Genomic DNA, 15,932 nt, shown 5'->3' on the forward strand with positions numbered 1-15,932 from the left:
TTTGTGACCCATGAAAATGATATGACATTCAAATTTCAGTGTCAAAAAGTAAAGTTTTGGCCGGGCCCAGTGGCTCACGCCTGTAATCCCAGCAGTTTGGGAGGCCGAGGCAGGCGGATCACCTGAGGTCGGCAGTTTGAGACCAGCCTGACCAACATGGAGAAACCCCCTCTCTACTAAAAATACAAAAAAAAAGTTAGCCGGGCATAGTGGCACATGCCTGTAATCCCAGCTACTTGGGAGGCTGAGGCAGGAGAACTGCTTGAGACCGGGAAGTGGAGGTTGTGGTGAGCCGAGATCAGGCTGTTGCACTCTAGCCTGGGCAACAAGAGCAAAACTCCATCTCAAAAAAAAAAAAAAGTAAAGTTTTATTGGAACACAGCCACACCCATTTATTCCTATTTTCTCTACCATTTTTTAGCGGGGAGGGGGTCTGCTTTACTGCATTACAGTTGCTTTTGTATCAAAATAGCAGTCCAAAAATAAGTACAGTCTGGCCTTTTAAGAAAACGTTTGTGGATTTCTGCTAAAGGGATCAACTTTAGGGTCAAGGGTAAAATGATACTACTATCATTTAAATGGTATATGAAATAAGGCACTAATTGGCATCATTTAACTTAGATATTACCCACACTCACCCAGATACTTATCTTTGGAGCCTACATTCATTGTTTATCAGATTCTGATAGCAAAACCAGGAGAGCCAGCAACCGCATTGGAAAAAAGTATTTTTCTTGAGGTATTGCTGCTTTCTCTCATGCTTTTATCCTACCAGTTTCTGGCATCCTTACGGGGCCAGTCTATCTCTGCCTTCACAAAATTCCTGCTGACTCAATTCATGCCCTTCAGCTGGTAATCTGGTTAATATTGTGCAGTCTTCATGTGGGATCACACCTGCCTTTGTCTTCAAGATGTGAAGTATTGATTTACCACAAGCACTCTTTGACCTTCAGAAATCTGTTGATAGTTTCTTCCCTTAATGATATGTCCTTGTTAAGGTTATTTCCTCAACTGGTATCAGCCATCTTCTAGAAATCACACACACACACACACACACACTCTTACACTTACACAAACATTCAGAGATGTCCATGTTGCCCCATGGGCAATTGTTCTCATATTATTTCTCCTCCATCTAGTACATACTTGCAGTTTCCTTGGATATGGTCCATAGTAGTGACCTGACTGATCAGTTGTCATTTTGTTGATGCATCTTTAAGAAATAAGAAAAGAGGAAGAGCTGTGAGTGCTCAAGTAAAGCCAGGGTCAGAGGAAAACAAAGATAAGGTGCAAAAACTGGATTATTCAGGATTATGAGCATACCAGTTTTTTTCATGCATTCTGGTAAGACGGTGAGAAGGTTCTTATAATTTATTTTTCTCCTCTTCTTCTTCTTCTTCTTTTTTTTTTTTTTTTTAATTTTGAGACAGGGTTTCACTCTGTCACCCAGGCTGGAGTGCAGTGGTATGATCATAGCTCACTTCAGCCTCGATCTCCAAGCAATCCTCTCACTTCAACTTCTTGAGTAGCTGGGACTACAGGTACAGGCCAACATGCCCAGCTAATTTTTTAAAAATTTTTTGTAGAGCTGGGGTCTCCCTGTGTTGCACAGGCTGGTCTCAAACTCCTGAGCTCAAGTAATCTCCACACCTTGGCCTCCGGAAGTGCTGGGATTATAGGCATGAGCCACCATGCCTGGCTCAGAATTTATAACGTAAATCCACTTAAAAGAGGAATGGGGGAACCAGCCACCCCAAACTGTAACTATGCCATGATTCTGTAAGTCCTTCTCTTTTTTTTGTCCTCTCTTGTTTATATTTCCATATGGAATGAGAGCCTATGGCCCTGAGGCAGTTTGTCACAGGTGGCCACTATGCACTCAGAAATGCAGGTGATAGCATCTTGTGGCAGTTACGAGCATGGTCTCTGCAGCTGGAGTCTGGATTCAACCCTCACTGTTCCATTTCCTGGCTGCATGTTATACATTCCTGGACAGTTATACATATATCTACTCAGCACTTCCATTAACTCACCTAGAATGTGGAGGTGAAATGAATGAATACCAGTGCTTTTGTAGGGTGTTCGGTTCATAACAGTTTTACCAATCTCTCTCAGAAGCCTGAAGAGTCCCCTGTAGGATGCTCTGGGTGCCAGTATAGAAATAAAGTAGAGACCAGGTGCAGTGGCTCATGCCTGTAATCCCAGCACTTTGGGAGGCCGAGGTGGGTGGATCACCTGAGGTAGGGAGTTCAAGACCAGCCTGACCAATTTGGAGAAACCCCATCTCTACTAAAAAAAATTACAAAATTAGCCGGGAGTGTTGGCGCATGCCTATAATCCCAGCTACTACGGAGACTGAAGCAGGAGAATCGCTTGAACCCGGAAGATGGAGGTTGTAGTGAGCTGAGATCCTGCCATTGCACTCCAGCCTGGGCAACAAGAGCGAAACTCCGTCTCAAAAAAAAAAAAAAAAAAAAAAAGAGAAACAAAAAAAAAGAAAAAGAAAAAGAAAGAAACTAGAATTGATCTGTATGAAGTCACGCTGAATAACATTTTTCTTTTGTTTAAAGCTCAGTTAATCTTCAACTTCTAGAAAAAAGTTTGTGTTTGTAAATGACATCAGACTTAAAATTTACATCTTAAAATATTTTAGGCCTTACTCAACATCTCACATTCAATCATTGAACAAATAGTTATTGAATACCTACTGAGTGCAGTCATCATGTCAGGCCCTGGGGATGCAGCATCCAGAAAGACTCAGGTGGTCCTAGTAGGGAAGAAATCGGGCAAACAAAACCAAATAAAACAGCTGTGAAAGAAGTAAATGTTGTGGGTGTTGTGAATGGTAAAATAGAGTTTTAAACTAGAGAACTGCAAAAAGAAATGTGCTTTTGACAGAGTGATGGAAGCAGACAATTAAGCTTAGATCTGAAAGATGAAAAAGAACCAACTAGGTTGACAATGGGAAGGTGAACAGTCCAGGCACACCGTACAGCCCTTCTGAAAGTCCTGAAGTGGACACTGTTTGTCCTCCTTTGAAGAACAGAAAGGGGAGTTGAAGCTTGGTGAGTAGCGTGGAGATCAGGAAGAATGAGCTTGGGGAAGTGGGTCAGGGACAGATCTTGCAAGGTTGGGATGTAATCTGATTTCTGATTTATTTCATAAGAAGGTCCAAATTAGCCAGGCGTGGTCGCGGGTGCCTGTAGTCCCAGCTACTTGGGAGGATGAGGCAGAAGAATGGCGTGAACCCGGGAGGCGGAACTTGCAGTGAGCCAAGATCGCACCACTGCACTCCAGCCTGGGCGACAGAGCGAGACCCCCTCTAAAAAAAAAATAAATAAATAAAAATAAGGTCCAACTGGCTGCTGTGGGGAAATAATAGGGCAAGGGTGGAATTCAGAATTACAGTTTGAAGTCCACTGCAATAGACATGATGCAGATTATTGCAGGATCACGGACTCTGTGTGTGCGTGTGGCTTGGAGCATATATACCATGATCCTTATCAAATCATGCAGGGAATTCAAATCACCGCTATGTACGTAAAAATGAACTTATATAGACTACATATCTAAAAATAAATACTATAAACACATATTCATATGTCTTTATAAAAGATGAAATGCCTTAAAATTAAAATTATGGGATGTAACTTACTGTGTATTCAGTTTAGGATTATTTTTTCGCCTGTTAATAATGCTTATTTTCATGTATCAAGCTTTTATTTTTTTACAATTTCCAGGAAAAAAAAAAGCGTATTTGTTTTATCCCTTCAAACCTGCATTTCCATTCAAATTTACCTTCTTTATGTTTTTATGTAAGTGAAAATCTACATTAATAAGCATATCCATGAGATTTTAAAATGTAAGAGGGATAATTGTTATTGAAATGAATGTTGGGGAGACTTGGATGGAAGTGGCCAGGTGGAAGAACCTCGGCTGTATTCTGCTCAGGCAGTATGATTCTATTGAAATTTCAAGTCTCTCTGGGGATTTTTTCCAATCAACCAAAACTCATGATATGAATTTTTGATGGCAAAATTAGAAAATAAAGCGCCCTTGTCTTTAAAAATAAAATTTGAATTCAAGAAGTGATCTAGTTAGACACTTGTATAAACTAACTTTACATTCATGGCGAATGAATCTAACGTAGACAAGAAGTTTCACCTGGTTCCTCATTAATATGATTATATCCTGAGTTGGTGATGAGGTGGGACAGGTTCTGAACTTGCCTATTCTAACTAATTTATTTCACAATGAGAACCAAGTCAAGTGTATCCACATGAGAACTAGCCATGCCACCTAGGAGAAGTGCATAATTATCCTCAAATAGCCCCTTACCTTTGGAATGGGACACAAGATCAAATGTGAGTCAAGTTATTCAACCTGGAGTTGGCTTTCCCCTAGCCCCTCCCTCCTTTGTACAGGGCTAATGCAGACAAATGCTCTAATCCTCCCATCCTGAGGTTGGCAGTTAGCCAGCTGCAGGGACATTAGCTCCTCATTAGCACCTTGTCATCTGCCCACAAATCCACATCCCAGAACAAAGTAAAGTGCCTGTCCCATTTGAAGCTTTGGCTATTGAAAAAATGAATGCCAGTCCGTGGGGTTCCTTATGGTTTTATGAGTTAGGAGTAAAACAGAAATTCATGTTATTTAGATTTAAGAGATTAATGGCATGTTGGTCAGCAGATTATATATTATGGTATACTTTGATAAATTCAGATTTTAAAACTGACCTTTTATTTCCAAATCATTTGGAAATAGTCTTTTATTTTTCCTTTAGAATATTATCTTTATTACTAAGATAGCATTAGAAAGTTGCAGAGTAACAAAAAGGAGAGATGTTCTCAGAAGTAAGTCTGAAATGTTCTGGACAAGCACAGGAGTTTAGCTTGTTATAAATTCTTTGCAATATTGAATAGGTGAAGACCATTTGATAAAGAAGCAATTCTCATTAACACCTCCCTTTTTCTTTGTAGAACCTGTCTCATTCTGTGGTTGCAAAATGTGTATATCTGGGAACATGTGCATCAGTAAAAGCTTTGCAGTTAAGTCTCTCCAAATCTTTTTTTGTGGTCATTTCAGCCATCTGAACCATCAATTTTGGTTACTGCAAAAGCTAATCCTTTGGCTCAAAGCACAGCTAACGGAAAGAGGGTTGAGAATTCTGAATGTGGTGTCTTGCATTTGGTTTTGTTCCTGCATGTAGGAATAGCTGAGAAACATTTCTTTTAGTTCTGCAAACATGCTGTTACTCTCAGCCACACCCCCCAGCACTTGCAGAGCTCAGCTGTCGATGCAGCCAAGTTTGCTGTTCGCTTCCGATGGTGAAGCATTTTCCCCCATTGTATATCTTGTGCCTTACTATCTAATGCTTTAAATGCCTACTTTGATTTGTGGCTGTCTGTTAAGGCCTTGGATGTGCCTTTAAAAGGAATACAACTTTTCTGCTGATACAAAAAAATTTTAGATCTCAGATTTTCACCTTTGCCTCCACCCACTTAAGGTCTGAGAATTGGACAGTATGGAGGAGAAAGCATATCTTTCCCTTCTCATCTAAGGTTCATTGACTGGGGCCCCTATAACGAAACACAGATTAACGAGAGAAAATCACACATATGTTTTAAATGTAAGCTTTGTGTGATATGGGAGCCTTCATGAGGAAATTAAGACCCAAAGAAGCAGCTAAACTGTAGAGCTTTTTATACTGTAGTAGGTTTGATGTAGAGTGGACAGTCATGGAGAAATATAATTGGACAAAGGGGGTATGATCTAATGATAATAAACTAGGGGAGAACTTAGCAACACCCGTTTGTTCAGATTTTTCTTTGTGATCCTGTGTCTTCAGAGATAAGGCTGCTCTTTTCCTCCAGGTATAGAGAGAGCATCTCTCACATGAGGGTTTTATGGCCTGCATTAGGGGAGGGTCAGAAAATCCTTCCTAGGTTTTATGACCTGTTTTAGTGGAGAAAAGCAGGGGAAGGTCAGGGAGACCTTCATGCAAATACTGTTTCTCAAATTTCTTCAGCTTAAAATTTTCCATCTGTCAAGGTGCCATATTTTGCAGTAGCATGTCCTAAGCCGCAACAGTAACTGAGGAGTAATGGTTAATTGCTATATTTTGTAATTTCCACTTCAGCTCAAATTCTGGCCTGCCAACAAGCTTAGTTTCTTTTAGGGCTCATCTAATTTCAGTACTTTGAATCAATGCCAATCTGTACCTCCATACACAATAATACAAATTGATTCTATAGGAAATGATGCAATGATGAGATTGGTCAGTGTCCCAAAACAGGCAGCCTACTTTGTTGGAATGGAAACATTACAACTTTATAAGACAGGCTTATACATTCCAGATCACTGAAAGATTTTAGGATACATTTAATAGACTCATTTGCTATATGGAATGTCCAAGATGAGAAGCCACATTTTCAGAGGAGCAGGAGCTACCTCTTTCTTTTTTCTTTTTTTGAGATGGAGTCTCGCTCTGTTGCGCAGGCTGGAGTGCAGTGATGCGATCTTGGCTCACTGCAACCTCTGCCTTCCGGGTTCAAGCAATTCTCGTGCTTCAGCCTCCCTAGTAGCTGGGATTACAGGCATCTGCCACCATGCCTGGCTAATTTTTGCATTTTTAGTAAAGACAGGGTTTCATCACGTTGGCCAGGCTGATCTCGAACTCCTGACCTCAGGTGATGCACCCACGTCAGCTTCTCAAAGTGCTGGGATTATAGGCGTGAACCAAGCTACCGTGGCCGGCTGAAGCTGCCTCTTAAAACATATTGTTTGTATTCCTAAATATATTCAGAAGGGAAAAATATGACTATCAGTTGGGATAGTTTTATTTCCCTCCTAGAAGCCAAAAGGCTTCTTCCAGTCACTTCCCAAAATCACATCCAGCTCTATGGTGAGCCCAAAGACGCCATGGCACTTACTTAACTTTTACTATTTGCCATGTGTGTATGTGTTTGTGTTTGTATGTGAAGAGAGGAGTCCTGTATTGCTACCTGTCCCATCCCCCTTTATCTAATCCATGGTAGGTGTTTTTATGCTGACAGATAAAACCCAATCCCCTGGCAGTTTGAGGCTGTGTCTGTCTAACAGCAACTGCCGTTTAGACTACTTTTGGACATGGTCCATTAATATATGGTCTAAGTTATATTTTTATAAGTTATATTTTTCAAAAACCAATTAAAGAAACGTTAGTTTCATGTTATGTATGAGTTTCATTGAAGTGATGTTTATTTTGTTTACCAAGAGCTTCCAAATTCTGGTCCTTTAATTGTATTGTTTTTCTAAAGGCACAGCCCGTCTGGTATCATAGTTTAAAAGAATATTGTGATCTGGTTATCTAGTTTCTGTTCAGATTTATATATTGACAAGGAAAGCAAGATACATAGCATTCACATCTTGAGCTTTCAAATTCAGAAGTATAGTTATCACAAACATACTTCATAACTCAGCAATGCATAAAAAGTGTTTAAATAATAGATCGAGGTGACAGATGTCATAAACATATATGAAAGGGATAGAGTCAAACCTGGCAAATTTTGAGATGTGGTTTCAATCACAGTGTTTTTTGTTGATTTTTTTATATGATCTTAGGCAATTTTAAATTAAGGCAGGCGTCACTTTTAATTTATTGTCAGGTGGAAAGCACACTTATTTTGTACTCTAAGGATTTATTCAACTTAACTCTGTAATTGCTAGCAATATACAAGCTCATTATTTCACAATTTACTATATTTGGTGCCAGCTGTTATGGAGTTAATGGCAAAGTCGGAAAAAATGACATAAAGCACACTCTCAGGTTTAGTGCAACCATCATACATTATTGTTAAGAATCTCCAGTCAGCCCAGGAGTTCACTTTAGTACTATTTCTTACCATTGTCATAAGTTAAAATAAAAAACAAAAAAGATTATTTTTCCCACCAAATATTGTATTTAATATTTTGCCAGACATTCAACTTTGCCTCCCTTTTACTATAAGAGAAACTTCTCATACCTGTTTCTTTTTCCGAAAGTTATTTTTGGCAAAGTTACAATTTCATACACTATTTTCATTGAAATGAGGTTTGAGAGGTGTCTGTATAAAAAGTAAGAAGCAAATATGCTTTTAATTGGGTTATGTGTCGCTCAGCCCAGTATTTTTTCCTCCTAGATATACTTCCTACTCATATTTTAATAGAGCCTGTAATCTTAGGGGAACAATACCCAGATAAAACAGCATAACAACCCAATATGAATTCAACAGCAAAATTCTGAAATTAAAGAAAAGTGATTTTCCTGCATTACAAGGAATTTTTGGTATATATATATGTATAATATGTTACGTTATACAATACTCACATTGTTTACTATTGTTACTTTCACAATTTCAACCCAACATTTTAGGTTTTTTTCCTACTCAGTGATATCCCTAAATAAAGCCATTTTTAAAATTGAGTATTGTTACAAATTTTTTTTGGTTTGAAATTATGTAACTTCTTTTTGCTGAATATATTATCTCTGATATGCACAAAATGCAACATTTGATATATTTCTATAAATTGAATGGGTGTTAAAATAAGAAATAAGAAACTCTATTTTTAATTATGGGAATACTTAAACTATTCCTCACCCTCTGGTTAACCAATAATCTTTACACATTTTTGTGAATTTGTGTATCTAACTTGGGAAAAAGTCACTCTTCTTCTCTGTGTGACACATAAAAAGAGAAAATGCGTTTCCAGGAAACAATCCACTAGTAATTTAGTCCAGCTATTTTCAGTACTTAACTTTTGTACTTTTTTCTTAAGTTCACCATGATATGACATTTTATTATTGGTTTTTTTTTTTTAAATAGTCATTCACCAGATATTAAAGGATGCAGTTGGTTTCAGTTCAGGCAGGTTTTAACTGCGTTTTAATTAGCTTAAAACATATGCTTCCATTTATCGTATTACGTGGTGTACATCCTATCCCATTTAGCTGAGTATTGAGGACTATTGTACAATATTGTGCTCAGGCTAAAACAATGAAATACTAATTGGATCCAGTAAAATAACTGTAACATTTCCGATTCCTATTAGGCAGGTTACGTAAATTAGGCTAATATAAAATGGTGCTTAATAGAATTGCAAATATGGTGTGATGATACATTCAGACAGGAAAGACAGTGAAAGGGGATTTTGGAGAAAATCAAATACATTTGCATTACAATAAAACATTTCCTGCTGTGAGGGCTTTTGCAATGCTGGAAAAAACAACACTCCAGCACCACTCCCTCTTATTTACATAGGAATGCCATCCCAACCTCTTCCAGTTCCTATAAACAGTTGTCTGTCAGTAACAGAGAATAACGTGCAGTTTTAAGTCTGTTGATGAATACAGTCCTTTTATTATTTCGTCAGGCATCACATCTGAGATCTTTATACTGCAATGAGGGAGCATTTCTCTTTATATACAGTATGTCTTTTATGATGAGAATGTACTGTGTAGGCTTTAAAAACTGACTATAATCATTGGATTGGATTGATATTTCCTATTTGAGCGACTAAATGTCTTGTGTTTATTTCCTTCTCTTCTTTTAAATTATTACTCACTGGGTTGGATAGTTGTGACATTTGTATATACTTTAATCATCCTAAAATTGATTTGAAAATAAAGTCTGGATAGCCTTTTCCTCCAAGGTCTCAGCCCCCTTGGACTTTCTTTTAAGCTCGAATAACAGCCATGTCTGATATTTTAAATGAAGAAATTTGAGGAACTGACACCCAGGTGCAGAAGGGTAGACCGATCCTCTTTCTAAAATCCTTCCAAACCAACGCTAATTTTGTCTTTGTTCATTAGGAGTCCCCATGGTGAGTTTCCTTCTGTGTGTTTGAGGAATGCAGAGCACTTTCTGGGCTGAGAGGTGTTCTGGGGAGGAGATTTTTGAAGCTGTCCCTCAAAGGAAAAGTTGCCCAATGAAGTGAGGAAAGCACTACATTTTTCCCTTGCAAATACACTGATAAAAGAGCTTTCTGCTGAACTCACAAGCACCCTTGAACCTTTCAGTTTGCTCCCAGCGCTCAGATCCCAGTGTTTCTGTGAAATGGCAGAGAGAGAGAGAAGACCATTCTGGGGCCTAGCATGCAAATGAGCAAACCACGTAAAGGAAAAGAAAATTTAAATCCCATCTATTGTATTCTAAGCAGGTTGCTAGCAAGCCTTTGTGGAGCTGGTATAAAAATGAATCTCATCTCCTTCCTGGCATGAAAACTAAAAACATACTTTATTTCCTCACTCACATCAGTAATTTTTATGCAGTTTTATCTTCAAGAAAAGATTTTTGTTTTTCCTAGGATTTTAGGGTATAACATTTTCATTCATGATACAAATTATTTTATCTGCATCTGTGCTTCTGATTCAGACTTTAATCTCCCTGAGATGTTTAGTTTTGGAATTTGTCACTTTATTTACATTCATAGGTAGGTCTCCCCCTCTTTTAAAAAAGTATTGGAATTAATACTATTTGCTCAAAGGAACAGCCTTTTAAAAAGGCACTACGTCGTATGAGGCATGCTTTTCTAGTGAAGCAAACAAGTTAAAATCCTCTAGATTCAAATTCCCTTCACTTCCAGCTTTCAGCTGTAAAGCAAAGCATTTTCATCTAGATGTAAAAGATGGTAATTGTACAATAAAGGAAAGGTTCTGGCCAATAGGAATATGCTTGGGGAACGTGAGAAGAGGGGCACTAGGGGCAAAGAAATAGTCATCAGGCTCTGCAGTCCGGACTTACCGAAGAGGAACCCTCGACAACCCACGTGAAGCAAACTGGTCAGCCAGCCAACTAGAGGCTTTGTCCACCAAACCACGTAATCTGTTTAGCTGAGTTCCCTCCACTCCATTATATTGATTAGAAAAAATTAAACTGATTGATTTATTTCAGCCTCATTTCATGTAAGTCAAGTGTGGAAATTTTTAGATCTATTAGTTTTTCTTATTTTCTTTTTCTCGGTAAAATTTTTGAAAATCTTGGTACAATGTAATTCTATATCAGATAGAGGAACTACCCATATAATCTAGAGGATTCTCTTCTCAAATGACTTACAAAGATAACCTTTATTTTGAAATAATTATTGATTTACAGGAAATTGTAAAAATATTGGAAGTCCCATGTACCCTTCTCCTAGTTCCCCCATTGGTAATATCTGACATAATTTGAATACAGTAATACAGTCAAACTCAGGAAACAGATTGAAAGCACCTTATGATTTCACCAGTTTTACATGGATTCATTTGTATCTGTGTGTGTATGTAGTCTTAAACAATTTTATCAAATAACTTCTTTTTTAGCTTACTGATAGCTTCAGGAAAAAAATAGCAAAGTGGCCTCAACAGTGGTGTTTTACTAAATCACTCATTATTTCCACATTCAGTGATAGCCAAAAATAATATATATATATGTGTATATATATATACACATGTATATATGTGTATATATATATATACACATGTATATATGTGTATATATATATTTTGCTGTTGTTGTTTTGGTTGTTTTATTGTCTAATAAAATAGACTCTTCACAGACATAAGGAACATAAAATGCATACATGCAAAAGTAAAGCAGTAATTTGCTAAATATAATTATAATCAAAATAAAAGTCCAGATAATTAATATAATTTGATTTTCATCACAATGCAAACATTAATTTTTAGTTACACCTAGAATTATAGTTTTTAACCTTTTACATCACACGTGCATGCACACAGATATGTTTGTGGTAACCCTACTTTTATCTCATAGATCACTAATTGTTTATGTGCACATACATGTAAATAATGACACACTCCAATTACATAGATTTGTAGAGTACAAATGCCTTAGATCTGGGATCAGCAAACTCTTTCTGCATAGGACCAGATAGTAAATATTTTAGGCTTTGCAGACTAGGTCTCTGTTGCAACTACTCAATTCTGCCCTTGTAGCAAGAAAGTAGCCATAGACAATATGATAAATAAATGAATGAGTGTGGCCATGTTCCAATAAAACTGTATTTATGGACATTGAAAATTAAATTTCACGTAATTTTCAGGTGTCACAAAATATTATTTTTCTTTTGATTTTTATTCCAACTATTTAAAAATGTAAAATCCATTCTCAATTCACAGGCTTTACAAAACAATCTGGTTTTGGCCTGGATTTTACCAAGAGGCTGTAGTTTTTGGACCCCTGTACTACAAAATATGTACCATGCTTTCATTGATGTGTATGCATGCAAAAGTTTTCTCCCTTCTACTCTAATCTCATTCTCATTGTCACTTGAGAAGGCATAGACAAGTTATATAGTAGAAGCAGTTATGCTAATATGAGAGAAGGTTCTTGATGTAATAGTACAGTAATAGTAGATTATTTTCTTCTTTTTTTTAAAGTAGTTTAACATTGCATTAAAGGGAAGAACTCAAGTTTCTAATTTTTTTCCTATTTTCTTGTCATGGATATATTAGCAGTACATGATGCATACTAATTATAAAGTTGGCTGTAACAAGAGTTCCTCTTGTGAATCCATTTAAGAACTGATTGTTTACTATCTTTTTCTGTAAGTATAAAATTTTAATTATGCCACTGACAGGAACTGTGCGTGATACAGTGCTCTACATTTATCACTGGGAGAGGGCCAGTTGCAGAGCTGTTTGACTTTGGAGAAATCCTGATGCGTTTGCAATGTTGAGCAGCAGGTGCCACATTATTATGTACAGAAAAGCAATTAGGAAGCATATTGGATGAATGGGGAGTGCATTAATATTAGCAAGTACATTTGTCAGTGGTTTTGATGCGAGTCTTTTTCTTTCCTTTATGCAACATTAAGATTGTGGCTCTCATAAATTCTCCCCTTAAATTGCCATCTGTTCCCTTGTCAGGCAGTAGTGAGGTAGAGAAAAGTTTTCTTGACAAAATGAAAGGAATTTCTTTTATTTAAAGTAGAAGCAAAAGGGCCTATAGAAAGTTGCAGAATTGTAGGTTGTGCAGTTCAGCTTTGCCTGTGTTAAGTAATTACCTTTGAATGTAACATTAACCATGGAACCCTTTGATTTTTACAAGTCGCTGTTTTTTCCCAGTCATTTCATGTATTTGAAAATTCAATAGGAAAGAGTTATAATTAGATTAATGCAATGACAACCAGCAATTGGCCATTTGGATTAGGAAGTTTGAGGAAGAAATTGCTGATTTTTTTTTTTTTTTTGGTGCATCATTTCCATTTTTCTTTCCTAGGTCTATGTTCCTATCCTGAAATAATTTAAGATTAATTAATAGAATATCACTCCTCTTTAACTCTAGGCTATTTCTGAAATACATAACATTTAATACAATAGCAACTGAAAGAAATTCTCTGTACCATATTTACTATAACAACTGGGTATATCTTCATGACAAACTCTGATGTGTACTTAACAATTAAATCTTCCAAAATCTTCATTAACTGGAAGACACAGCCAATAAGTGATTTTGGTTAATTGAGTTTTCTGGTTATTTGAAAGGTAATATAATTCCTTTAATTACAACTACCTTAATTGAACCTTTTTTTCTTGAATATATTTTTTCACTTTTTAACTTTAGCAGTATAGGATATGAAATATCATGACATCTAGGCCTTCACATGCTTTCTCATTGTCATCTTGGGCATTTTTTAAAATGCTTTAGGAAGAAGAAAGAATTGCACTAAACTTGTACCTAATATGAAGCATAACCTAACTTTTTAAAAAATGGTTAATGTTGTTGTTTTCTTCTTTTCCCAAAAGTACTTCCTTTTTTTTTTTCTTTTCTTTTCCTTTTTTTTTTGAGACGGAGTCTCACTGTGCTGCATAGACTGGAGTGCAATGGTGTGATCTCAGCTCACTGCAACCTCTTCCTCCCAGGTTCAAGCGATTCTCCTGCTTCAGTCTCCCAAGTAGCTGGGATTACAGGCGTGAATCACCATGCCTGACTAATTTTTGTATTTTTAGTAGAGATGGGGTTTCATCATTGTTGGCCTGGCTGGTCTTGAACTCCTGACCTCAGGTGATCTACCCACCTCAGCCTCCCAAAGTGCTGGGTTTATAGGCGTGAGCCGCTGCGCCTGGCCTCCAAAAGTACTTTCAAAAGGAAAATTGAGTTAATATATTTTCTATTTGAGTTCTCGTTGATTATGGGCATAGAAAGATTGAGTAATATAGCTTTATGGCTGAGGCCTGTGAAACAAAAGACAGATTAACAAAAGAAAAGCATTCACATTTTATTTAATGTAAGTTCCATGTGACACAGGTTCATAAGGACATAAAGACCCAAAGAAACAGTTAAACTTGTATATTTTCATGCTAGGTTTGATGAAGAGTGGATAGTCTAGGAGGAATAGGATAGGACAAAGCATTTTCATCTAGATGTAAAAGATAGGATGATCTAATGGTGGCAAACTGGGGAAACTCTGCAAGGCCTTTTTGTTCAGATTCTTCACTATGATTCTTCACTTTCAGAGATAAAGATACTCCCCTCCTCCAGGTATAAAGAGATTCCCCTCTTGCATGAAGGTCTTATGAGCTGCTTCAGGGAAACCTCAGAAAATCCTTCTTAGTTTCATGATCTGCTTTAGGGGAGAAGGGTTGTGGTGGTGGGGAAATTAGAGAGACTGTCTTGTTTCTGCCATTTTTCAATATGTCAGGTGGCATAATATTTTGGGCTATAGTATCCTGAACCCCATGAATAACATGGTTTTTCCACCCACGTTAAGTGTTGTCATGCATAACGTAGCCCATTTACAGGTGTCTGGAGCCACAAATTGATAGTTGCAGACGTGAGGAAAGCTGAAGATGAAAAGAACATGAGGTTTGACTGAGGTCTTCTAGTTTCCCTTCCTTTCTGTTCCCAGAGTAACTAAGGTCAAGACCAATCAATTGTGACTCAAGCTCACATGAAATGTGTGTAAGAACTGATGCTGGTTTATTCACTTAAAATGAGATTGGGCACTGTGTCAGCTCATCAGCTTGTTCCCTACAGGTAAGTTTTGTTTAAAAGCTAAAGTTTAAGCACAGATTTTAGTTGGCATGCAAGGCCTCATAATTAGTGGATTTATCTGGATCTTAAGCTAGTGTCCTCAAGTTCAGATAGCCTTATTTGTCTCCACTCTTGGAACCCAAATGTTTAAGTATCCTCTACCATGGACAGGGCTGGAGATACCTTGAGAAACTCTTAATTTGAGAGTTCATTTATTCTTCTTGCCTCTTCAATTTTAGCTCAATTAGCAATATCCACATTCCTTTGAAATTTGAATATTCCCAAATCTCCTTAGTCATGCATAACTAAATCTCTTATGAGACTTTTACTCATAGATGGCTATGAGTAAAACTATGAGTAAAAAAGTCTCTTTCTTTTTGAGATGGTGTCTCGCTCTGTCACCAGGCTGGAGTGCAGTGGCACGATCTCGGCTCACTGCAACCTTCGCCTCCTGGGTTCAAGCAATTCTCCTGCCTCAGCCTCCCGAGTAGCTGGGACTACAGGCACATGCCGCCATGCCTGGCTAATTTTTTTTTTTTTTTTTTTTTTGGATTTTAGTAGAGATGATGGGGTTTTACCATGTTGCCCAGGCTGGTCTCGAACTCCTGAGCTCAGGCAATCTGCCTGCCTCAGCCTCCCAAAGTGCGAGGATTACAAGTGTGAGCCACTGTGCCTGGCCTAAAGTCTTATTTTTAGTAGGTGTTGTTTTTCAAGCTTTCAGAAGTAATCTTTGTTCTACATTCTAGGGCGCCCATTTAACCTCACTATCTTGTTTGAGTGCCTGTGTGGAAAAGGACAATCTGAGTACTTTTATAGTTGAATCTGGTTGTGATTACACCATGGCCTTTCATCCTCACAGTAGGCAGCTAGCTTGGGCCACATAAACAAAAACAAAAATCAAGTAAAAGGAAGAACAATTAGCCAGGTAATTTAGAGAAG

The 15,932-nt window shown here is 37.5% G+C and overlaps 1 long non-coding RNA gene across 1 annotated transcript in view, besides 3 other annotated features; it reads left to right on the forward strand.

Annotated features, from left to right (window-relative positions):
- The window catches only part of LINC01122 (long intergenic non-protein coding RNA 1122), a 543,014-nt gene that overhangs the window by 10,177 nt on the left and 516,905 nt on the right, over positions 1-15,932 (forward strand). The gene's annotated exons all lie outside the window — the stretch shown is intronic.
- Positions 4,269-5,025: an enhancer, noted in NCBI's record as "OCT4-NANOG-H3K4me1 hESC enhancer chr2:58762333-58763089 (GRCh37/hg19 assembly coordinates)". NCBI's record gives its function as "activates a minimal SCP1, AML or CMV promoter by ChIP-STARR-seq in naive H9 embryonic stem cells {active_cell/tissue: H9 hESC(naive)}" and the evidence as "EXISTENCE:reporter gene assay evidence [ECO:0000049][PMID:30033119]".
- Positions 8,879-9,462: an enhancer, noted in NCBI's record as "OCT4-NANOG-H3K27ac hESC enhancer chr2:58766943-58767526 (GRCh37/hg19 assembly coordinates)". NCBI's record gives its function as "activates a minimal SCP1, AML or CMV promoter by ChIP-STARR-seq in primed H9 embryonic stem cells {active_cell/tissue: H9 hESC(primed)}" and the evidence as "EXISTENCE:reporter gene assay evidence [ECO:0000049][PMID:30033119]".
- Positions 9,463-10,044: an enhancer, noted in NCBI's record as "OCT4-NANOG-H3K27ac hESC enhancer chr2:58767527-58768108 (GRCh37/hg19 assembly coordinates)". NCBI's record gives its function as "activates a minimal SCP1, AML or CMV promoter by ChIP-STARR-seq in naive and primed H9 embryonic stem cells {active_cell/tissue: H9 hESC(naive and primed)}" and the evidence as "EXISTENCE:reporter gene assay evidence [ECO:0000049][PMID:30033119]".

The sequence above is a fragment of the Homo sapiens genome, chromosome 2, assembly GCF_000001405.40.
Source record: "Homo sapiens chromosome 2, GRCh38.p14 Primary Assembly".
Classification (NCBI taxonomy): Eukaryota; Metazoa; Chordata; class Mammalia; order Primates; family Hominidae; genus Homo; species Homo sapiens.